Source organism: Homo sapiens, chromosome 9, assembly GCF_000001405.40.
Source record: "Homo sapiens chromosome 9, GRCh38.p14 Primary Assembly".
Lineage (NCBI taxonomy): Eukaryota > Metazoa > Chordata > Mammalia > Primates > Hominidae > Homo > Homo sapiens.
This window is the reverse complement of record NC_000009.12, coordinates 138,055,319-138,080,625: the sequence shown is the minus strand read 5'-3', so window position 1 is coordinate 138,080,625 and position 25,307 is coordinate 138,055,319. Positions and strand designations below refer to the sequence as shown.

At 51.5% G+C, this 25,307-nt stretch overlaps 1 protein-coding gene across 2 annotated transcripts in view, besides 1 other annotated feature; it reads right to left on the bottom strand.

The window, feature by feature from the left end:
- CACNA1B (calcium voltage-gated channel subunit alpha1 B) overlaps positions 1-25,307 on the bottom strand; it is a 246,838-nt gene that overhangs the window by 43,994 nt on the left and 177,537 nt on the right. For both annotated transcript variants that reach the window (NM_000718.4, NM_001243812.2), the window contains exons 27-36: positions 22,757-22,894; positions 22,376-22,577; positions 21,893-22,057; positions 21,437-21,547; positions 20,889-20,972; positions 10,863-10,868; positions 7,022-7,138; positions 6,560-6,625; positions 4,716-4,807; positions 2,368-2,512 (exon numbers count right to left, since the gene is read on the bottom strand). In NM_000718.4, coding sequence (NP_000709.1) covers positions 2,368-2,512; positions 4,716-4,807; positions 6,560-6,625; positions 7,022-7,138; positions 10,863-10,868; positions 20,889-20,972; positions 21,437-21,547; positions 21,893-22,057; positions 22,376-22,577; positions 22,757-22,894 — 1,126 coding nt within the window. The remainder of the gene's footprint in view (positions 1-2,367; positions 2,513-4,715; positions 4,808-6,559; positions 6,626-7,021; positions 7,139-10,862; positions 10,869-20,888; positions 20,973-21,436; positions 21,548-21,892; positions 22,058-22,375; positions 22,578-22,756; positions 22,895-25,307) is intronic.
- Positions 6,047-6,944: an enhancer, noted in NCBI's record as "H3K27ac-H3K4me1 hESC enhancer chr9:140968134-140969031 (GRCh37/hg19 assembly coordinates)". NCBI's record gives its function as "activates a minimal SCP1, AML or CMV promoter by ChIP-STARR-seq in naive H9 embryonic stem cells {active_cell/tissue: H9 hESC(naive)}" and the evidence as "EXISTENCE:reporter gene assay evidence [ECO:0000049][PMID:30033119]".

The window sequence follows — 25,307 nt, the reverse complement described above, 5'->3', positions numbered from 1 at the left end:
CTTCTATTCTTGTTATCATTCTTGTTGCTTTTAAGATCCACAGAGATGGGACGACCGCTGCCTGCCCTCTCCCTTCCTGAACCTTCTCACCCATCAGCTCATCTCCTTGTTCCACAAATCACACTAAACATGCTTATCAACAGTGATCATGCTAATGTTAATGTAATGATCTTGCAATGATAATGTAATGACGGCAATGATGTTTACCGATGGCATCACTCACTGCCTCCCGAGTCTCCACCTCACACATCCCACTCTGCTCACATCGCCTACTTTTCCGGCTCCCTTTTTCAAATACCTGCATCCCAAAACATGTCCTCACGAGAACCTCCAATCCAGTGGCATTGCCCCTCACCCTCCTCTGTCCCCAGCTTTGATCCCACGTCCAGCACAATAACCACACTCTTATACACACCCTTCTCTCCCTCCTTGCACTTGTCTGGGAAATCCCGAATCTGGATAATCCACTTTTCTACCCTTGTACTGAGGAGTGAATGTGGCTAGAGAAAAGCACAGCCATGCCAGCTGTTCCTCCTTGGAGTCAGGGCCACAGGCTTGAGGTGTTTCCTCAGTGCTGCTCACTGTCAAGAGCATCTCTGTCCCGGCTGTGCTCCTCTCCTCTTACCGGCTCTCAAACTTGTGGCAACAAGGCCTTCACTCCCACTACGCTGACGGAGGAACGATGTGCCAAGGGTGCTAACGGCCTCTGCCTTTCCACATCCAATAAACAACATTTTTTTTTTTTTTTTTTGAGACAGAGTCTTGCTCTGTTGCCCAGGCTGGAGTATAGTGGCGCAATTTTGGCTCACTGCAACCTCCACCTCCCGGGTTCTAGCGAGTCTCCTGTCTCAGCCTCCCTCTTTTTTTTTTTTTTTTTTTTTTTGAGATGGAGTCTGGCTCTGTTGCCCAGGCTGGAGTACAATGGCGCGATCTCGGCTCACTGCAGCCTCCACCTCCCAGGTTCAAGCGATTCTCTTGCCTCAGCTCCCCAGGTGGCTGGGATTACAGGTACCTGCCACCACGTCTAGCTAATTTTTGTATTTTTAGTAGAGATGGGGTTTCACCACGTTGGCCAGGCTGGTCTTGAGCTCCTGGCCTTAGGTGATCTGTCCGCCTGGGCTTCCCAAAGTGCTGGGATTACAGGTGTGAGCCACCACGCCCGGCCCAGTTAACAATTCTTGGTCATCATCTTGCATCACCTTCCGTCAATATGGTGCATGGCTGGTTACTTCCTCTCTCCGCCCACTCCTGGTTCTCCACCTGCCTCCTGGACTGCTCCACCTCAGTTTCTGGATCTAGTGCTCCTTTCTGCCTCCTCAATGCCCTTGGGGTAGAGTCTTCAGCCTTCTTCTGAACACTGTTCTTCCCCTACGTCAGTGCTCACCAAAGTTCAACACACACAGAGTCACCTTGAGAGCTTGTTAAAACTCAGATTCCTGGATCCATCTCCAAGACACCCTGATGCAGTCTCGGGAGTGGCCTGGGAATCTGTATGTCTAACAGGCACTCAGGCACTGCTTTGGACGCAGGTCACTGCACTAAGCTTCGCATTAACAGGGATCCAGCAAATAGCATGCAGCCCCACGAACACACCGAACACTAACGACAACTCGTTTCCATCCAGCCCAGAGGTCGCTGGGCATCTCTGCTGCCTCCAACCCTAAACTAATCTCAGCTCCCCAGTACTCCCATCTCAGAAGAACTGCTCACCCTGTGGCCCCAGAAAACCCCAGGATGCAGCCTGCTTTTTCCTCTTCGCATGCCCATCTCTCATCATCAATCGTGCCAGCTCTACTTTTAAAATGCAGCCTAATCCCACCTCACTCCCTTGCCTCTCCTTTCTCCAGGCCACTGTTGCCCCCAGTCGTCTCCTCACTCGCTCTGCAGCCACGTCCTCACTACTCACACAGAAGCCAGAGCCAAGCTGTAAAACGTCAAGCAGATGCTGTGAGGCCCCCAGAGGCTTCCATGGATGTGAAATAAAATCCACACCTCTGGGGCCTGCCCTGCCGACCTCCCCACCCAGTCCAGCTGCTTTCCCCGTACACTGGCTGGGATGCTGTTCCTTCACATCCCATCACCACAGTGGATGACCTTCTAGAAGCTGGAAGTTAAGGAACAGTTGCCCCTGGAAATGTAACCCTTTTCCACGGATGTCAAGGAAGGGCCCACAGGAGCCCGTTACCATGTCGGCCCTTTCTCTGGCTAACAAAGTCGCCATCTCTGGGGAAACAAGGGCCATCAGCATGGACTCAGCTTCTGACATGGCCTGGATCAGAGTCAGGGATCAGCAGGAGATGTGGGAGAAGCCTGAGCTGTACCGAGACAAGACGTGGCACTGGGAGGGGCACAGTGCCCAGGACTCACCAGAAAGGAGCACAGGAAGATGAAGGAGACGAAGTAGAAGTAGGCAAAGTCACTTCCACACTCGGTGGCATTGGCCTGCTCATCACAGGCCTGGTTGCTCAGGCAGGACAGCATGATCTCGTGCCAGGCCTCCCCCGTGGCGCTCCTGAGAAGAAGGGCAGAGTTGTGAGGCCCACAGAGGCCCTTGAGGGAGCCCGAGCCCTGTGGGGCTACCAAGCGTGCCCACTCCTTTGGGCTCCTTCCCACAGACAGCTCACACATGTGCCAGGCCTGGGTCACAGATGCTGTTTCTTCAAAGGAAACTTCTGGCACTAGATTTCCAAACTGAGCATTAATTGGGAAACCACTGCTTACTAAAAATTATCTACGGCACCAGGGGCCAGCGCCAGGGCGAGCACTTCTTTGTGGACACCACAGGCCCCAGTTGTACTCCTGACCTCCTCCCAGACACACGCCATCTTGGTCTTCATTTCCAGAAATGGTGACTCTCCTTCCAGCTGCTCCAACCAAAACTGTGGGGGTCATCTTTGCCTCCTCTCTCTCTCCATATCCTGTTCATCAGATCATCTGCCTTCAAAACACAGCCAGGCTCTCACCACTCCTCACTGTCCTAGGCCAAGCGACCATGACCTGCCCTGTGCTATGGAAGCTTCTGAGCCTATCTTCTCACTCTGCCCTACACGGCAGGAAGCAGGTCCACTAAGCACAGGTCAGATCACATTCTTCCTCCTCTCAAAACCCTCCGATGACTTGCCTCGCTCATCAGAAATGCCAAAATCCACATGACTGCCCATAGCACTGTGGGACCTGCTGCCCACTCTTTCCCTGACTTCACCCCCATCTCGGTTCCAGCTCAGTCCACTCCAAGCACCCTGGCCTCTGCTGGTCCTTGAACACCTCAAGAGCACCCTGCCCTGAGCAGCCACCCTGGATGCTCCTGCACGGAGTCTGTTCCTGGACACAGCCAGCACCGGGGGCTTGCAGGGTACAAGTGGGTCAGAGGCCTGGGTCCCCACCTCCGTGTGTCTGTGTGCGCAGCCCCAGGCGTAAGCTGGGCCCACTCCTCACTGATGACAGCCGGAGGCAGGGGGGTTCCTGCAGGGCTGCTGCTTCAACCTGTGCTGGGCCTGACTGATAAGGGTGTTCCCAGGGAACACGAAGTTCAGGGAGAAACAGAAAGCTGTGAGACCAAAGGCCTCAAAACTAAGGCTGACTTCATAGGTTTGCCTTAAGTCTTCCGCGGCATGAGGCAGAATAGTAATAAATGATGAGATAAAATTAACGCAGCAGCTAAAGCCCAGCCAAACAACATCATCTGGGGACAGTGTCAGCCTAAGGGTGCTTGCTTATGTTATGCAAAGAAACAAGAGTCTAAGAGGTCTCTCCAGGCAGCTCAGCAAAGCAGGTCTGGGTCTGAGCTCGCCCCAGCGCGCATCTGCAGGCAGGGTGGGCTGTACAGCAGCCCAGTGCATTTGCACACATGGACTGAAATGGCAAATCCCTAAAAGAGCTCCTTCCTTCTGTCCTAGGCTCGTGAGTGATAAACTGTGGGAGACTCAGGAGGCAGGAAAACATGTTCACCCACCTCCCTTCTGCTCCCAAGTTCACTCTCAAACCAGGATGGCCCATAGCTCCTGTTCCGCGCCCAGGAACAGCAGCTGATGCTGAGGCCTCTCCTGGCACATCTCCACCAGGAGATCTCAGAAGGCCCCGAAGCTTGTGCCATGGCCTCTTGGCCCCTCCAGGTTCTGCCTGTTACTTGGCTTGGCTGGATCCAGGAGCCCAGGGAACGGCAGCTCCCATGAGAGATGGTGGAAAATAAAGGTGTGTTCAGATCGGCAGTTCTGGTCAGTTGGGTTCCTTGGGCCACTGAGTAGCTACAAACTCTGCTGGTCAGTTCCCCCTGTTGCCCTACTGCCCTCGATCCCACCAATCCCTGTAATCAACAAGGGCGCAGGTGGAAAGCTGGAGGCCCGCACTTCAAGAGAGCCCCTGCTAGGCACCTCTGTCCTCCCAGACCTCTGCCTGGAGCCTCACCGGAGGCTCCCAAGCTGTCGCCAGGGAGCACAGACGAGGCAGCAGAGGCCGGCCTGGCCCAGGGCTCCCAGGATGATCTCCCTCAGGGCTTCCCTTCAGCCTGTTCTGAGACTGGGGCAGATATCAAGAGCCTTTGGAAAAGAGGAGCAGAGAGAGGGGAAGAACCAGAAAGGCCTGCTGAGGGGAAGCCAGTGGGGTCGGGGAATTAGAAGTGGGTGGTCTCCACGGTTGACACCCAGCCTTCTTCATCCTGAGTAAAGCAGCCCCCGACGGAAGAGCAGACATTGGCCTGGGCTGACCGAACAACACACCTGAACAGCAGCATCAGGGCTTGCAAAAACGTCCGGAAGTTGTTGTGGCGGTTGATGCTGGTGTCATCATCCAGGGCAATATTCCCAAACACCTGCAATGGAGAAGAGCAATGGCACGGACCCTGCTGGGTCTGCAGGAGCCGCGCCAGGTGGACCGAGCCAGAGAGGGCGTGCGAGCCGTACAAGGACCCCACGTGAGATGGGCGACTGCCCCACACCAGAGAACTCCCACCCGGGAGAGGCCAGTGTGCATTCCCAGTATAGACGCCCTCTCCGTAGCTACACATGTGCCGGCTCCAGCTCTGAACCTGTCCACAGATGCAAGTCCGAAACACTCACAAGAACGGCCCCGAGCTAAGTTTGTGAGGCCTCTGCCACACGTAACACAGGAAGTGTTTTCAAGTGGGATCATCAGCGACTCCAAAGCAGGCATTATGTTGGTAACAGGTCTGACAGATCATGGGAAAATGTCTTCTTAAAACATATGCAATAGTACAACGGGCTTTTTAGCCATTTTAACTGACTTTTCCACAGTAAGAAATGCAAATGGGTCAGTAATTGTACTCAGCCCAAAATCTGGAATCTGGCTGCAAATTTATGAACTATGACACATCCACAAAGATCAGTAACGTATGTGCTCTTGTACATCCACAGACCAAAGCAGGAAAAAAAGATGTATTTATTTAAACAGCATCAGATCTCTGCAAATTTTAAAGCAAGAGAACTCTTCAATCCCTGAAATAGAGTTTAGAAATCAGTTTTCCGTGAACCTTTGAAACACCGGCACCTTCGATAACAAATTAACACTCGGGTCCCTCTTCCGTCCCTGCTGTTGGAAAAGTGGTCAGATGCCAAAGATTTATAACTGGGACACTGCTTTATGTTTTTTTAAATGCTTTTTCCCAAATAGCTGACAATGTGTTCTTTCTAAAATAAAGAAAATCTAAATTATGCAAGCCAAGTTTGCCCAGCGCAAGGATCCGATGCGCTCCTGCTCACATTCTCAGGCAGTTTTCCCCAGTAGCATGTAACCCCCGCCGCGGGTCAGGCCTGTCCTTCAGCGCGGCTGCCAGACTAACAGGATAACCGACCGCCACTGTGCAAGCCACTCGGCAAACACAGCTGTGCTCCAACGCGCCTCCACCACACAGCCAGCACCCATTCTGACCTGTGCCCCGACACCCTACCATCACTGGGCGGGAGCCCATGCAGCCCTCAAGAACACCACGGTGCATCCACCTGTTGAGGTGGCAATGGGCCGAGGGCCAGAGCTGCCCCACACCAGGATGGCCCTGGGCAAGCAGCCCAATCTTGTGGTGCCTCCATGTCCTCCTCCGCAAAACAGTCTTTCTGAGGGTTACGTAAGTTTAGGCCAGGCGCGGTGGCTCACACCTGTAATCCCAGCACTTTGGGAGGCCAAGGCAGGTGGATCACTTGAGGTCAGGAGTTCAATACCAGCCTGGCCAACATGGTGAAACCCTGTCTCTACTAAAAATACAAAAATTAGCCGGGCGTGGTGGCACACATCTATAATCCCAGCTACTTGGGAGGCTGAAGCAGGAGAATCGCTTGAACCTAGCAGGCAGAGGTTGCAGTGAGCCAAGATCACACCATTGCACTCCAGCCGGGGTGACAAAGCCAGACTCTGTCTCAAAAAAAAAAAAAAGAGTAAGAAAAGAGGATTACGTAAGTTCAGCAAGTGCTCAAAGCAGGATCTGGCTCACAGAGAATGTTCACTAAGGATCAACTGATTATGACGATGATTTGACAATCATGATCAGTGCCCCTCTGCTCCAGGGCACGGGAGGCCGGAACCACGCTCTGTCCCAAAGGGGAGCACCCACCTGCATGCCGATGATGGCGTAGATGAAGAACAGCATGGCAATGAGCAGACACACGTAGGGCAGGGCCTGCGGAGACAGGGGCCGGTCAGCTACAGGCACCTCCCAGCCACCACGCCCAGGCCTCCTGCTACGGTGGCTGGGCCTTTGAGGTCACACAGACCTCAGCCTACTCAAGCTCCATCCCACTGGCCACCAAGCCCCTCCACCAAGTGATGCCCCAGTTTCTTTATCTCTAACTCGGAGTCATGAAACCCACCTCAGGGTTCTTGTGAGCATGACCAAGGGAACCTACAGATGACTTAAAACGTCTTTATAAATGACAACAGGACAATGCATACAACCACGAAACCTGCATGCCATACCCTCTCCCAGCCTCCCAAAGGAGGGGCCACTGTGGTGGGGGCAGGGGAAGCAAGACGGAGGAAGGGGACAGAAAGCATGGAGGCCCCCCGCCTGGCCCACCTTGAAGGACTGGACAAAGGTCCACAGCAGGATGCGGATGGTGTAGCCCTGGCGGAGCAGCTTGATCAGCCGCGCAGCTCGAAAGAGGCGGAGGAAGCTGAGGTTGATGAAATTGTTCTGCAGAGAAGAGGAATTGTTCTCTGACCTTCAGAAGCCCCGAAAGCGCAGGCAAGCTGCTGCCACCCTACAACCTCTTCCCACATCCCTGTGGCCCCAAAGAAAAGTGGTTAAAAAGATTAAAATCAAAGGTCTCTGCTTCACAGTCTAAGCAGCAATCGGCCACCAGAAAATCTTCCAGAAGTAAAGCTTGTCCTTGCAAATCACTTCTCATGCAGCAAATCAGAGAAAACCTCCTTGGCTCTAAGGCCCCTCCCCACCCCCAACCGTGAGCAACAGAAAGAAAAGTTCTCCCAGGCATCTCTCTGCTGCCAGGTGAGCTGGGAGATCACCTGTGGCTGGGCCTCCAGCAGTGACCACCTCTTGCAGGACACGGTCAAGCTGGCCACGTGCTGGGCATGACTGCTTCTCCACCCAGCACCCCGGAAGGGACCCCCGCCCAGGCTTCACGGCTATGCCCTTTCCTCCCTGGCTCAGTCAGCAAAGCCCTCGCTTGCCTGGGACCCTCGCTGGGACCTGGCAGAGGGGCAAACACTTCCTCTGAGGCTGCTCCAGGCGTGTGCAGACAAGTTATGGAAGGTACAGGTGTTCTGCTGCTCACACCACGGAAGCCACCTCTGCAATTCACGGTCAAACAGGCCTCTGCTCTAGAGAGCCCAGGCTGTCTAGTGGAGCTCCCTCATCCAAGGGGCTCAAAATCAAGCACAATGATAAATGGATAAACCTGGGACTCCACAGATTACCTGGCAGTAAAGCCTCCACGTGGCCCCAGGGCACTTGAATTACTGTACTGGCACATCCCTTTCAGGGAAGCAGGCTCTGGGGAGGTGTCCGTGCACAGATGGGGGTGCTTGTGGACCCAGGAGGCTTTCTGCCCTCTGTCTACCTAGAGGTCAGGTGCCCACACACAGCCTGAGAGCAGCTTCCTGCCACTGCAGCATTTTAAAATATGCAAGCAGCTCAGGCTCAGAGACACGTTCGTGTTGTCAGATTCAGTCATCAAATAAAGAGAACACAGATGTCAAATGAGACAGCAGCAGCAGGAGCACGTGCAGGCGCAGAGGCGGTGAGGGCCTGGCAGAGCATCCCGACTCTCCAGGGCTACCGTTAGGTGGGAATGAGGTGTCAGTGGAGGGGTGGGCCTCACTCTTCCTTCCAGGGACAGTGGCCCAACCCGTACTGAGGACACCTCTGCCTAGGTCTGCCACTTCCACTGGCAGGGGCAGGGTGGCTGAGGATTCAACTCGAGGTACTGGCTCTCAGGCGGGATGCTGCAACTGTGGGAGCAGGACTGGTTTTGAATGATATCCATGGCCAGTGGGCACAAGGACGGGCTATGATCCAAATCAGCAAGGCGGCAGCAGTAGACCTCAGGGTGTGACCCCAGAGGGCAGCACAAGTGTACCTGTAGCTCCGTAATCTGCTTGTGCCAGGGAAAGAAAATCTCCACGGTAGACAAGATGGCCAAGAACTCTGGGCCACGAGGACCCACAGAGAAGCCAGCCATCTTAGAAACATGGGTGCAGGGGTGGAGGGCCGCAGTCCCGTGTCAAGAGACCCTTATGTAAGATGATGAAGCAGAGCCGGGGGTTGGAGGCTCCCACTCTGAAACCTTGTGCTCAGGGGGTCTGGAGGGGCAGGGACTGGGGCAACACAGCACCCACTGGCTCAAAGCACAGTCAGGCAGTGGCACAGACAAGATTCCCTGAAGACACTGGGGAAAATAAAGGCTGCCAGGTAAGAAGGAAGGACTGGAAGACAACAGGGCAGGCGAGAGGTGCGTGGAGAGTAACAGTTTGTCCAAATTACTTAATGCATGAATGCCAACCTCAGCCACCATCACTTTCTGTTTTTGTGGAGACCCACACTCCCCCCTTCCTCCTGGCTTCTCTCGGGGCTCCTGTGGGTACTCAGGAGAGGCTGGGGGCAGGAGACGGGCGCCCTGGAGAGCTGTGAAGACAGACGGTGACGGCAGCCACAGATGTTCGAGCACAGCGTGGCAGGCCGAGCACCATGCCAGCTGCATGCAGGAGAGCAAGGGACAGAAGCACACGCAGCGCCACGCCGTGCACCTGCACCATCACCTCTGGCCTCCGCCAGCCCCTCGGAGGCAGACACAGCCTGCCCCAACCTCACTGAGTCCATGGCTTCTGTTGCAGCCACACCTACTTCAAGGCCAGGCCCTTCCTTACTTCTACCTGAGTTGGAAAAGGTCTGTGGCACCCCAAAGGCACAGCATTGTGCCCTCAACATGGTGGCTGACTCACCTTGATGGGACAACGGTCCCTAACCCTTCAATCCTCAGCTTTCTCATCCACAAAGAAACACGGGGACACCCAGTCCAGGAGGTGAGGAGTACTTGAGAAAAGGGATTTAAAATTGCTCTTAGCACTGCAGGACACCGTGCCATGACAGTGACCCACTGACTCTGGACCAAGACCAGCATCCCCTGTATCCAAGACCACCACGGCCTCTGGCCAGAGTCACAGGGAAGTGAGGGCTTGTCCCGAGTGTCAGCTGGGCACCCCACCCCGATCTGTGGGCCCCGATGTGGGCCAGCTACCACACCAGAGGACAAGGCCCAGCAGGTGCAGAAAAACTGCTCTGTGGCTCCCTTTCATTCTAATGAGACTGACAATTGAAGACGGGAAAGAGACATGCATGTGCATGAGTAACATGTCAGGTGTGGATGTGTGGTGGAGAAAGAGGACAGGGGACAGACAATGTGGGGAAGGGCTCTCTGAGGAGGTGACGCTGAGCAGAGGCCTGACTGGCACGAGCTGGATGCGTGCAGATGACATTGCCTGGGTGTTTCTGCAGCATTAAATGGTATTTTCTCAAAACGCTAGCTCTTCTGCTCCAATTGTGAATCGCTGTATCACAAACATTCACTTTTACACGACTCTCAAATATCTTCTACTTTATATTAATTTCCACAGTCACAGCTAAAGTTGGGTCAGTTACCAAATATCTTTGCTCTAAAATTCCTGAAGACCCAGCAGGAAGCTCCGGTTGGACCTGCACTCCAAATGAGCTTGCTGACCGAGCACATACACAATTCAGTGACATGCGAATGGGGGAGCTTCGGCTCCACTGCCTCTAGGGGCAGAGCCCCCTTCTTCTACTCAGCCCTACAAGAACCCTCCTGAATCATGAAGACAAAGACTGTAAGCCCTGCCCCCGAGCCCTGAACCCCAGGCCTGACCCTGCCCACTCCAAGGCACGGTCAGTCCAGGAAGGACGGAAGCTACAGGGGAGTCTGCAGAGGCCACCTGGGCAAAGCGGGGCCTTCTTGATTGGCTTGATGGGGACACAGCAGGTGGGAGATGGCTGCGCAACAGGAACCATGGACTCGCAGGGATCAGGGACAAACTCATGTCCTGCAAAGCCTCCCCAAATCTGAGCCAGTCCCAACAGGAAAAACTACCCTAGACACTTACCCACTCCAGAAACCCCACCTCCCTCTCCTTGGGCAGGTCTCAGGGAAGCCCTGCCCACGGCCAGTTCCCAGAATCAAATCGCTGCCAGGAGGGCCCTCAGAAGCCCTGCTGAATGCCCAGAGCCGAGGGAGCAAGTCCAGGAGGCCAGAGGTGAGTGGATGCAGCCGCATCCAACCACACGCCTAGAGGGCAGTGGGCTGGAGTCCCAGGAACCAGAGAGCAGGAGAGGAGCAGAGCGAGCAAAGCAAGGACTTGCAAGAACCGTTCAGAGTCGTGAAACCAACCGTTTCCTACATGTGATGTTTTCATGGATGGATATTTGCATATTATTTACAAATTGGGGAGGTTTGAGCAGCAGGTGCACAACATACAGACGGAGACATGGGTTTTCGCATTGTATGTTGGTTGGATGGCGTGAGTCAGCAGGTAGGTTAAGGTAAATCAAGAACAAAAACAGAAAACAAAAGAGAAAATGAGTCATCAACACAAGCAAAAACTCAAACTCTGATTACTTAACTAGAAAATTAGGATTTTGGTAAACTGCATTATTTTTCTTAAAATATATCAGATCAAAACATATTTTTGAAGTCTGTAGGTTATGCAGACAAGGTGGCATTCATTTGCATTCTTGTTTGTAATGCAAATCCAAAGATGACTCACAGACACTTATTTATTTATTTTTATTTCCAGGCAAAGAAATCAATGTCAGTTTCATGCTTGCTTGGAGCCCTCTCTCTGGGTGCCCTTGCTAAAACTCTATTTTGATTTTTAAGTTGGGGATGGGAACTGACACTCATATTTTTGCCTAAGAAAAAAAAGTGCATTCACAAAGTAAACATATGAAGTGGCTCCAAATGAAAAACAGACACACAAACAAAACAAAGCACCACCAGTCCACACGATGGCTTTCCCTTCATCTTTTCTCCTCCAGGCAGAACAGGAGATGACCTGGGCTCCAGGAGCAAGAGTGGCCAGGGGACAGCTGAGCTTTCCAACCAGCAGCTCTCAGGCCCCCAACCTGCTGGGTGTCCAGGGTTGGCAGGGGCTGCCAAGGAGGGCTTGCTTGAGCCAGGGTCTGACACGACCACAAACAGCCCGGCCTCGACTGTCTCGCAGCTGAGGGACGGAGTGTGGGTCAGTCTGGCTGCCTGCACTGCAGCAGGAATCTGCCTTGTATCAAGGCCTCTGCCCTACACCAGGGCCTCTTTGGGGTGTGGGGAGGTTTCCCTAGAGCCCGGCTGGGCACTGGGGCTCTCTGCACATCTCTGACGTCAGCCAGGCACCCTCCACTTTGTGCCCTCTCAGCAGTCAGCAGTTCCCGCCCCTCTTGGAAAGGAGGCACACACACGCAGAAACCACCCCTCCCCACCAAGCTGTGTCCTTACAGCTGGGAGCTCAATGTTTCCATCACTGTATTTGATGAATAAAGATTTCTGTTTCCAAGGAGGAGGCCCTTAGGAATCAGCAATGCAGCCCACCTGTGCCTCTCGGAAAGCGCACTGGGACTAAATGCTTCCGGGCGAGACGCACAGGGAGGAGGCAGCCACTGGGAAACACAACACCAGTGCTAGGGGGACTCAACTTTTCTGATTTTTCTGATTAAATGGCAGGTTTCAGCTTTTTTGCTTGGATTACTCAGATCATTAACTTTTTTAAATCGTAAAGCATATCACATAAAAGATTACGCATAAATATTTTAAAGAAAAGTAAAACCAAGTATCTATATATATTCATCACCCAGCTTTACGAACGGCACATCACCATCACTTCCGAAGCCGTCTCGGGTCTCCCTTCCTCCTCTGCAGATGCAGCCACTACCTTCCCTTCTTGTTAATCATGGCTTGTCTTTTCAGCTTTACCAGAAACTCTGGAAATGCATTCTATGTTTGCCTGTCCCTGGCCTTTGTTGTGGGATCAGGCTGCCCGCAGGCTTCTTTGACTTGCGCACACCTATGCTCTGACCAAAAACTGTTTCTGAGAAGCATCCACACTGTGCTGATGTCACTGGAAAGGGGTGCACACACAGAAACCCCCCAAAGCTGTGTTTCAATTTCACATCATTTGCGTATTTTCACTACGTTAGCAGAGACCCTAACAACTGGCACATTCTGTTACCGATGGGCACTCAGATGCCTCTGTTTGGTCGGCAGAACGCTGGTGCCAGGAACACTTGTGTGAAAATGCCTCTGGGGGTTATCTGTGCAGGCACCCTCTGGGACACCTGCCTAGGAGTACAGTTGCTGAGTTGTATGCACATGTCCAACTTTCGAGGGGCTGCTGAGCCCTCCCAGATGCTGTGCTGGCTGGCACGCCCACCAGCAGTGCCAGAGTTCTGGTTATTTATATGTTTTGAAAGAGTCTTACTCTGTTGCCCAGGCTAGAATGCAGTGGCGCAATCTTGGCTCCCTGTGACCTCCACCTCCTGGGTTCAAGCGATTCTTGTGCCTCAGCCTCCCAAGTAGCTAGAATTACAGGCGTGCGCCATCATGCCTGGCTAACTTTTGTATTTTTAGTAAAGACGGGGCTTCACAATGTTATCCACTCGTCTCGAACTTCTGACCTCAGGTGATCTGCCCACCTCAGCCTCCCAAAGTGCTAGGATTATAGGCCTGGGCCATTGCACCCAGCCTTCTCTTCTTTTAAAAAAATTTTAATGTCAACATTATACTAGTCTAGTTAGTTAGAGAATGTTCACTCTTTTTCTGTTCTCTAGAAAAATCTGTTTAAGAGTGGAATGATCTTTCCTTATATTTTAAGTAGAAACCTAATGTATAAGACCACTAGAATCTGGTGTTTTCTTTATAGGAAGATTGTTTATTGACTCAACTTCTTTAATGCTTTAATAAAGAACCATTTAGGGTTTTTCTCTCTTCTTTTGTCACATTCAGTCATTTATATTTTTCTAGTAATGTGTTCACTTACCTAGGTTTTCAAACGTACTGGCATAAACTATTCACAATATTCTCCTTCACGTTATTCACGTTACTCTCTCCTGTACCTACCATCATGACCCCTCTCCCCTGCCTTACATCGTGTATTTTACCTTCTTATTTTTCTTTGATTAATCTTGCCAGAAGTGTGTCAATTTTTAAGTCTTTAAAGAACTAAGTTTAGACTTTATTGATTCTCTCTAGTCTTTGTTTTCCACTTTCTTAATTTCTATTCTTATACTTTTCTTCTACTTTATTGAGCTTATTCTGTTGTTCTTTTTCTAACTTTTAAAGTTAGATGCTAAACTCATTAATTTTTACACCGTTTTCTTTTTCTAATATAAACATTAAGGCTGTAAATTTCTTTCTGAGTACTGCTTCAGCTGTTATCTCATGAGCTTTAATATACAGTATTTTCATTGTTTTTCTGTTATTTATATTTTCTAATTTCCATCATTTCATCTTTTACCCATGACTTATTCAGAAGTTCATTTCCTTAAAAGTGGAGAAGGTACTGTTAGTGTCTCAGCCACACAGGCCCTGTGATCGCTCTGCTTCTGTCCACACTGGCTCCCAATGCACTTTCACGCCCCACAGCAGCACTTGTCTCTCTCCTTCCCCCTCTGTCTCTCTCCTCCTGCCTCCCTGCCTCTCTCTCTCTCTCTCTTATTTTTTTAGCGTTTTGCTCTGTTGCCCAGACTGGAGTGCAGTGGTACAATCATAACTCACTGCAGCCTCGAACTCCTGGGTTCAAGCGATGCTCCCACCTCAGCCTCCCAAAGTTCTGGGAGTACAGGCGTGAGCCAGCGTGCCCCGCCCTCTTGGGTCTCTTGATGCAGGGATTCCCACAGGCTGCCAGAACCTGCTTTGCAGGTGGAGCCCATGCTGCACTCTCTTGCCCCTCACTGGGACAACTCTGATGTGGCATCCACACTACCCTCAGAGCTCCCCTGCAGGAAGGAGCCCAAATTACATGGAATTGATTGAAACTGGATCTCTTCCTTATCCAACTGCCCCCATCCTCACCAACTATTCCTGGAAACTGTGATTCCAGTAAATCACATTTGGATCACACGTTCTGATCCAAAGACAGGTGACACCAGGGGTGGTTCCTTGGAAGCCGACTCTAAGGATGGAGACCTTGGGGAGTGGCTCACTGGACAGATTCTCCTCTGTTGGTGGGTGGTAAGTGAGGTGACGGTAACTCCTGGTGTGCTGTAGCATTAAAACTGCTGAAACCTTCATCTTGGGCAAATCTGTAAAGGGTTGAAAGGGGTGCAATAACGATACCGCAAGATATCATTAGCATCCACAGGCTGTCAGGAATGGGCGCTGTAAGGATGGTAGAGCTGGTGAACCATGGCTAAGTGCCACCAATTACTCTGGGGAAGAAAACATTACAAGTTGTCAATTAGCAACTCCAAGCATAACCCAAATGTGGTCTGTGTTTCGGATTGTGCTGACCAGCCTGGGACTCAAGGGAGGACCAGGGCTCTAGAGAGGACTCCACAAGTCTCTCATGCTCCAACGTCAGCACCCAGAAAGGAAGGGCAGGCTCTGCCACGCAGAGGAGGAACACCAGTGTGGGCATGCCCCCAACACAGAGCTCTCAGATGCCCCGGGACTGCCTGGGCCTGCAGGAGCGTCCCCCTCCCTGCTGCAGGACCTCACTTTGTCTTGCCTGAATACCTGCAGGAGTCTCAGCTGAGGTGGATGCTTTCCACGATGGTACTCACCCTCCCCAAGTTCCACCTCACTTCCAATGCCGGCCACTAGACCCACAACTCGAGTTTTCATACAGCCTGACTTGGGAAGCGGTGGTCCTGCTGAGTGAGAAAAAAAGGCTGCCCAGTGAAGGGCTGTGTGATATAACGGGTATGTGTGGCAGGAGCAAGGTGGGAGGGACTGGATGAGGATGGCTGGAAGACAGGCAGGATAAAAAACTATTTTTAATGTAGGGGAGCTTTCTCCCATGACTCAGGATCCAATACCCTGGCGAGGGCACCTGAAGCAGGTGCTAACAGGCTGCTGGGATGACTCCCAGGAGCTTGGAAAACCTCATAGCCCACATTAAATGAGGTGAGGGTGCCAGAACTGCCTTGGCAGATGCTGAGCATAGGACCAAAAGGCTCAGAGAGGTAGGCATGCTAGAAAGAACCTATCATGTACGATCCAAGTGCCCACGAGCCAACCAGCTTCTCAGAGCGTTTTGGGAGGAGGGCACTGGCATCACGCACAAGGCCACTGGTGGTTCTCTTCTGCAGGCCAGGGTTGACGGGAGGAGATGCTGTCATGGAGCAGGGATTCCTTTGGGAAGAAGAGAAGGCTCTGGAGCTGCAGAGGCTCCATGGCAGCACACAATCACATGAGGCTGGCTCCCTTCCATGGCTGGTTGCCTGGAACCACCACAGTGGGCAGCGAGGCCTCAATGGCAACCAAGAGCCCTGACCTGCAAAGGTCCACAGTGGTGGCTAATCAGCCATGGCATTGGCAGGACAAAGGGGCATTGCCAACAAGGATGCTGCTTCGGCTAATCGGCCATGGCATTCCTAGAGGCAGGACAGAGGGGCAGCGCCAACAAGGATGCTGCTTGAGATTAACATATGTAAATATAGAATTCAAAAGAATGAAAGTAAGTGAGCAGAAGGCTGATAACAGCCACCACCATGGACAAACATGCTCCCTCCCGAGTCTCTCAACCAGTCAGTTTTCAGATCCAGGGTCCACAGCTTAGAGGAGAGACTGGGCCCCCTTGCAGAAGAATCCTACAACACAAGAAGGAGTCCAGACAGCAGCCATTTCTCTGCCCTCCCCAAGGAGATCGGGCTCGTTTACTTGAGAAATTGCACACTGGATCCAGACAGCAACCATTTCTCTGCCCCTCCCCAAGGAGATCTGGTTCGTTTACTTGAGAAATTGCACACTGGAGAAAGAATACCCGGAGGTTTTGAAGGCTGTTGGATACAAGGTCCAAGATAACATTGATACCAAGGAACTAAAATGAGATTGCGGCTCCATCTCAGAGTGTGCGCAGGGGCCAGGACACCAATGAATCCCTGGCCCAGGCCCATCTCTCAGTGGTCTCGTGTGCCCAGGCACAGCTGGTGTTCATTTGGCTAGTCCTAACTAACTGGCCGAACCCACCACACTGGCTCCTCGACATGTGAAGTAGACATAACAATAGGAAAGTCCTCAACACCGACACCCCCCAGCCAAAACGGTACATTATAACACTGCATCCAGTATGGAATGGAGAGGTTAGTGCCACCTCGAATAATTAAAAGATAAAGGGGTGGTTGGTCTACACCTCATTCCCATTTAATTCACCAGTATGGACTGTGCAAGAAAACTGGATCACAATGGATGACACTGGACTACTCCCCAGATAACCCAGGCTCAGTACCCACTGCTGTGGGAGATTTGGTATCTTTAATAGAACAGATCTACTCAGCCTCTGGGACTTGGCACACAGGTGCCAACCTGGTGAGCACACTCTTCAGCAGTCACTGCTAAGCAGGGTCAGAAGCAGTTTGTATCCACAGCAGACATTCACAGTCTGACCCTATGTCACAACATGGTCCAAAGGTACTCTTAATCATTTGGAATTCTTATTTTTATTTTTTAGAGACAGGGACTCACTTTGTGGCCCAGGCTGGAGTGCAGTGGTGCGATCATAGCTCACTGCAGCCTTGACTTCCTGGGCTCAAGTGATTCTCCTGCCTCAGCCTCCTGGGTAGCTGGGACTACGGGCGTGTGCCACTATGCCTGGCTAAATTTTTAAATTTTTTACAGAGACAGGGTCTCGCCGTCTTGCCTAGGCTAGTCTCCAACTCCTAGGCTGAAGTGATCTTTCTACCTTGGCCTCCCAAATCCCTGAGATCACAGGTGTGGCCACTGTGCCTGCCCAAGACGTTCCCTGCCTTGGCCTCCCAAAGCCCTGAGATCACAGGTGTGGCCACTGTGCCTGCCAAGACATTCTTCAGAACACCACACTGGTCCACCACACTGATGATGTTATGTTACTTAGATCAGATGCCCTGACGCACTCCAGAGCACAGGTGATAAATCTTACAAGGATTCATGGACCTTCCACGTCAGTGAAGTTTTTAGGGGTCCAGTGGTCTGGGCTATGCCAGGACAAGGACTCCAAGGTAAGAGACAAGTTAGTGATTGCACCTCACACTTCTACTGCGGGTAGGCTGCTTTGCGTTTTGGAGATGGCATAGGCCACTTAGGAAATACTGCTGTGACTCAAGACGCTGCCATGCTTGAGAGGTTTCAGAGCACAAGTGAGGTCTCCAACAGACCCAGGATGTGATAGCAGTGGCCCTGCCACTTGGGCCACAAAACCCAGCAACCCCCAGGGTCCTTGATGTGTATGTGGTAGGTAAGGATACTGGGTAAAGTCCTGGGAAAGCCTCCACAGAGAAGTCAGTGCAGACACCCAGCATTTGGGAGCAGGCCATGCCATCTACAGAACGGAAGCATAATGAGAGGGGCCAACCTACTTCCTGGCCCTGGTGGCAGCTGTGTGTGTCACCAAGAGACATCGCTGTCTATGACACCAAAGCATCTCCCCATAGTGATGTGCTGTCAGACCCACCACAGGCCCAGTGAACAATGGAAGGGGTACCTCTACGACCGAACCCAAGCATGTCTAGAGGACACAGCACACAACATGTGGCCCAATCCCCCATGACACGCACCTCTGTTGACCAATGACGTCCTCACCTCACTCCCGCCATCACTTCATGGGGATTCACTACAACTTAGGGGGAAACGCAGACCTGATTTGTGGATGGGTTGCTTGGTATACTGGTGCAGGCCTCACTACAGCCTCACATAGGAACAGCCTGAAAGACAGAGGTGGAGCAGAGCCCTGGGCAGGGTATCTGGTCAGCTCTGTGTGGGGGGGAAAACAAGTTGCCTGTGCTGAGGATAACAGGGTCCTAGGCAGGCACAAACGGCTGGTCAGGATCCTGGAGGGAACAAGGTCTAGGTGAGAGGCAGACAGATGGGCCTTGGGAACAGGCATGGGGTACAGGCCTTTGTTTTGCAAACCAATGCTCACCATGGGGCACTAAAAACCAAGCACTGGGATAAGTCGACCAACAGATATTGGCTAGCCTCTGTCCTCACCAGCCCCAGTGTCCACACAGCAGACCTCTGGATAGGGTGACCATCGTGGCCAAGAGCCTCTCAGCAGCATGATCCAGTCATGACCACTGACGATTATCTACCGGGAATGAACAGACAGCAACACTGGGCTTCCATCTGGTGCCATGCCTTGGGGCTGTCAACCAGCCACCTAGTGGTAAGCTGATTATATCAGAACACCCTCTCCTGGAAAGGGCAGTGATTTGTCTCATCTGGGATCCACCCACATCCCAGGTGTGGGTTTGCCTTTCCTTGTGCAGTACCGTGCCGGCACTAACATCTCAGAGATTTACCAACACAGGATTCCATATAACATCAGCTTGGAGCACACGCAGGGGATGCATGTGAGCCAGGTGACCGCGGGGTCCACTGGATCATCTAACGCAACACCACTTAGGAGACGCTGCCCTGACCTTAAAGGCAGAGATAAAATGCCGGCTTGGTGATACACTTCATGGGGTTGGGGTGCCATATTTCAAGATGAACCAACGGCCAATCGATGGTACTGGGTGCCCAATCAGTAAAATGTATGGATGGAGGAAATGGTGAAAGAAGAAGGGGCCTGTCTCACCATCGCTCCAGAAACCCAGTATGAACTCTGCGCTCATCTTCCCCAATTTTAGGTCTGGCAAATCTAGAGGCCCTGGTTCAAACAGGTGGAGAAGGCTTCTACCACACAACACCAAAGCCATGGTGGCCACCTGGTCACTTGGGGCTGCTCGTGCCAGAAGGCCAGCAGGCATCACAAAGAGTTTCCATGCCAGCCAGATCATCTGACCCTCATTACTGTGAAGGGCAGAGCTGCCACTGCATAATTCTGGGAATCAGGGGCTTCACTGGGCCTTTCTCCATGCTCCTATGAACACGCTCCTGTGCGCAGTCTTCACTGCGACTGGATTACCACGGCAGCCAGGGTTGGAAAAAGAACGGCAACAAGTAGGGACTTGGGATGCGCAGGGCTGAGGGTCTGGGTCATCCCACCAGGCCAGCAACCAGTGCAGCAGAAGGCTGGCCACAGGACAGGGGCTCTAGAAAGGGTGGTGGGGACGGGATGATGAACATCAGCTCAGGGGCTCTAGAAAGGGTGGGGGGAACGGGATGATGAACACCAGCTCTGCTTGGACCAGCACAGCAGACGGAGCTCCGCTCTGTCTCCCAGAGACCATGACCAGCACCATCCTAAAGAATGAGCACAGTGAACCCAATGTGAAGTGTGGGCAGAACAGGAAGGAGCCTGGTGCTCCAGCAGGTTCTCCTCTGATGGTGTCAGACGTCCCTTCAGCCCTAACAGCTTGGGTGCAGCACTCGTGGCACACTCAGGGAGCTGGAAGCATCTGAGAATTGACACCCCAGGTGCAGCCCTCAGCCTAATGCCGTGCGGAGGGTGCAGAGGCAAACACGTTGCAGCTCCCTTTCCAGCAGGGATAGCTCTGAGGTGCGACCTACGCTGCTGCCAGAAGTCCCTTGGGAGATGACCCACACTGACCCACCAGGACTTGGCTTGGGACGCAGGATTTCTGGTCCTTCTCTTCCCACCCATTTCCCCATGCCCCTCTGCTGGTTTCTACTGGGAACATAACTTAAGAAATAAATTTCACATGAGTGCTCGTGTCTGCGTCTGCTTCTCGAGAATTCAACCTAAGACCAAACAAATGAGATTTTCTGCCATTGATTTCCAGTGTAATGTGTTGTACTCAAAGAATGTTGCTTTATGATTCAGATGCTTTGAAATTTGTTGAGACAAGTTTATATCCCAGCACTGGTCAATTTTAAGACATAATCCACATATGTTTGGTAAGAATGAGTATTTCCAGATATATATAGAGAGAGATAGAGAGACGGTGGGGGGCAATATTTTGAAATATAAATCCTTACTGGTTTCAGTTTATATATTTTTGATACCACCTTGTTAGATACATATTATACAGATACAAATTTAAGATTCACATCTTCTTGATTAGTTGTTACCATGGAGCTCCAGGTAACTCTCAGGCCAGCAGCCCAAAAGATCTTTGAGAACCACTTTCTTATTCAAGAAAGAACATCTGCTGAGGTAACACCCAATCCCTAAACTCCACCCCTGGAGCGAAGCCTCCACATGTCCAGGGGGTTCTGCGGAACCCAGGAAGAGGCTAACACAGGGCCTGGAGATGCACTGAGGGGAGCAGGCTCTAGAAGGAAACCACCTGGGGACCCTGAAGGAGGGACAGAAATGCTACTTACCGCAATCTCTGTTACTAAAATATCAGTAATACTTCCCAACACAGTGACAAAGTCAAAGACATTCCAGGCATCTCTGAAATAGTTCTAGAGAAAAAGAAGAGCAGTTAGTGCCAGCGGCTGATGAGGGCTCTGTTGGCAAAGAGGTATATATAGGTGGTGGCCCTGATTAAGAAAGCGGTGAGGGTGATAGACCCTGAGCACAGGGCAGACAGGCCACCCCAGGGGGCACAGCACAAGGCCAGAGGTAAGCAGATGTCAAAGCCAGGGACACAGATACCTCTGGGCCTGGGCAGAGGCAGGACTAAGAGCCATGTGTCCAAAGAGGAAGAACCCAGCCCTGCCTCCCTCCCAGGACCTAGGCTGGGGGCAGAGCTTATGTAGCCAAGAGTCTCAGAACAGCCCCTTCCCCAGGGCCCCTGTAGCATTACATATACTCTGGGTACTCGGAGAATTCCCAGCTCCAAATTGTGAGCCCCCAAAGGTCGCCCTACAGATGGGGAACCAGAATATAGGTTGTCAAAAGGCAAAGCAGGGACCAAAGCACGTACCAGCACCCCAAAGGCGATGATCTTCAGCACGCATTCCATGGAGAACATGGATGTGAACACGATGTTCAGGCATTTCAGCATCAGCTCGTACTCATAGGGTGCATCATAGAACTGCCCGGGGAATAGGCACTGTTGGCCATGGGTTTGGCAGCCCCAAGACACCCCATCTGGGACCACTATGACCAAGCAAAGCGGGCAGACAGAACTCGATGCCTGCCTAGGCCTGGGACACCCCTTCCTGCTCTCCCCGAGTCCTCCCAGAACCTCCCCACTGTCCCAGCCCACAGACAACAAAGGGAAACAGGATTCCACAGGCATCCCATGCTGGCCAGGATGCAAGGCCACTACTGCTTTGGCTCATGCAGGGAGGAAGAAGGCTGACTCTCCACTCAGCCTCAGGGTTAGATCCCAATCCCTAGCAGCGCCAGCTGCCCCTCTGCGCTGAGCCCCACACACCTTCATCATCAGCACCACAGTGTTGAGGGCTATCATGGCCATGATGAAGTATTCAAAGGGCGGGGAGACCACAAATGTCCACGTCTTATACTGGAACGACTGCCGGTTTTGGGGCATGTACCGTGTCAGGGGTTTGGCGCTGATGGCGAAGTCAATGCAAGCCCTCTGTAAGGGGAGAAAGGAGCACAGAGACTCAGAAGCAGAAAACCTACCCGACGGCATCTACTGCACCCAGCCCTGTCTCGCCAGGCCTCACAGGGAGCCCTGACAACAGAAGACAAATTGAAGCAGCCCAGACCTTCTCCAAGCAGGCCTCAACCAGCCAAATCCGGTCCCTCTGCAGGAGAAAGGAGGACCTGCCCCTGTGTTGGCAGACGGTGGCAGCCAAAGCTGACCCAGCTGTGAGTGATTTGTGTGCAGGAGGGAAGCCTGATGGCGCTGCCCACGCTGTCCACTGCAAGACTCCACAGAGCGTCCACCTACCTCGTTCTTCTCCAGGCTGCATTCAGACATCACCTTGTCCCCCTGCTCCTGGAAGGTGATGATGATCAAAGCCACAAAGATGTTGACGAAGAAGAAGGGAAAGACCACAAAGTAGACCACGTAGAAGATGGACAGCTCCATGCGGTACCCAGGGCTTGGACCCTGCTCCTCATAGGTGGCATCCACGGAGTGTTTCAGCACCCTGGGCAAAGAGGAGAGCAAGTGTCAGGGGAACCCCCAAAGGAGACAGCCCTAAGAACTCAAGACCTGCACCACAAGGGTGGGTCTGCTTCCATGCCTGAGCCCAGGGATAGAGGGAGGAAGGGAGGCCGAGCTCAGGGGCTGCCTGCCCCAGCTACGGAGAGCAGGATGAGCACTCACATGGGCCAGCCTTCTCCCGTGGACACTGTGAACAGCGTCAGCAGAGCCCAGAGCACATTGTCGTAGTGAAAGTCGTATTTCTTCCACTGCCTGGGCTGAGCTTCCACTTCCTCCTTCTCATAATCCAAATACTGACCCCTAGGAATGAGAACATGGGAGGTTAGAGGGCAAAGACAAAAGATCCAAATAAACCCACCTATCAAGAGTGTTGAAACCATTCCGTGGGGAAAGAATGGCCTCTCCAACAGACTGTGCTGGGAAAACTGGATGTCCACATGCAGAAGAATGAATGTGACCCTACTTTACTCCATAGACAAAAATTAACTCATGATGGATTCCAGACCTAAGTGTAAGGAGCTAAAACTATAAAACACTTAGAGGAAAACGGGGGCAAAACTTCGTGACCTCGAATCTGGGAATGGAGCCTTAGATGTGACACCAAAATCATGAGCAACAGAATAAAAAATACAGATAAATCAGGCCGCATCAAATCGGACACTTCTGTGCTCAGAGGACGCCGAGAACGTAAAGAGACAAATCCACAGAATGGGAAAAATACTTATTTCCTAATCCTCTGTCTGATAAGGGAGTTGTATTTAGAATATGTAAATAACTATTCTAATAAATAAAAAAGGCCGGGCGCGGTGGCTCACGCCTGTAATCCCAGCACTTTGGGAGGCCGAGGCGGGCGGATCACGAGGTCAGGAGATGGAGACCATCCTGGCTAACATGGTGAACCCCCGTCTCTACTAAAAATACAAAAATAATTAGCCGGGCGTGGTGGCGGGCGCCTATAGTCCCAGCTACTCGGGAGGCTGAGGCAGGAGAATGGCGTGAACCCGGGAGGTGGAGCCTGCAGTGAGCCGAGATCGCGCCACTGCACTCCAGCCTGGGCAACAGAGCGAGACTCCGTCTCAAAAAAAAAAAAAAAAAAAACCCAAATAAAAAATGGGTAAAGGATCTGAATAGACACTCCTCCAAAGAAGATATACAAATGGCTATTAAGCACATGAAACGCTGCTCAACACCACTCATCATCAGGGAAAGGCAAATAAAAACCACCACGAGACACCACTTCATGCCCATGATGATGGCTGTAGTTTAAAAAATACCAAAACTAAAAAGATGGAAAACCACAAGTGTTGGCAAGGATATGGGGAATTCAGAACCCTCATGCATTGCTGGTGGGAATATACAATGCTTTAGCCACTTTGGAAACAGTCTGGCATTTCCTCAAACAGTTAAACACAGAGTTACCCAATCACTCATTAATTCCACTTTTAGGTACACACCCATGAGAAGCAAAAACAGACCCACACAAAAATGTGGACATAAATGTATACAACAGCATCATTTATAACAGCCACAAGGTAGAAACAACCCAATGTTCATCAGCAAATGAAAGAATAAGGAAAATGTGGCACAGCACAGAACACATATTCAGCCGTAACAAGGAACAAGGCTCTGACACAAGCCACTGCGTGGACAAACCTGAAAACATCACACGAAAGAAGCTACTCACAAAAGACCACATATTGTATCATTCAATTTACAAAAAGTGTCCAGAACAGAGAGGTTTACAGAGATTAAAAACAGATTCATAGTTGGCTAGGGGTGGGACAGGGATGTAGGGGATGATAGTTAAACGGTGCGGGTTTTTCTTTTTTTTTGAGGTGCTGAAAATGTGTTCTAAAATTGACTGTGGCGATGCTTGCATGTACCTGTAAATAGACTAAAAGCCACTTAATTGCACACTGTAAGTGGATTGTTATGAACAAGCAGTATAATGTGTTAGTTACATCTCAATAAAGCTGTTTTTTTGTTTCTGTTTTTGTTTTTTTTTTGAGACAGAGTCTTACACTGTCGCCCGGGCTGGAGTGCAGTGGCACAATCTTGGCTCACTGCAACCTCCGCCTTCCAGGTTCAAGCGATTCGCCTGCCTCAGCCTCCTGAGCAGCTGGGATTACAGGTGCTGGCCACCATACCCAGCTAATTTTTTGTAGTTTTAGTAGAGACAGGGTTTCACTATTTTGACCAGGCTGGTCTCCAACTCCTGACCTCATGATCCACCCACCTCAGCCTCCCAAAGTGCTGGGATTACAGGCGTGAGCCACCGCGCCTGGCCTAAAGCTGTTTTGTTTTTGTTTTTTAAAAAATCCATTACACTGGGTAAGAATGATCTTTTCAAATAAACGATGCTGGGTGAATTGGATATCTATCGTCAGAAAACGTATCTTAACCCATACCTTATGTAACACATAAAAATCAACTTCCAAGTAAACTGCAGATCTTAATGTGAAAGGCAAAAATAACACTTTTCAGAAGAAAACACAAGAAAACATCCCTGGCCTTGGGATAGATTTCTTAAACAGGATATAAAGAGTACTCAGCATAAAAGAATAAAAAAGATCAGTTGGACTCTATTAAAATCAAGAACTATGGTTGGGTACAGTGGCTCACACCTGTAATCCCAGCACTCTAGGAGGCCGAGGCAAGAGGACTGCTTGAGCCCAGGAGCTCGAGACCAGCTTGGCAACATAGCAAGACCTCA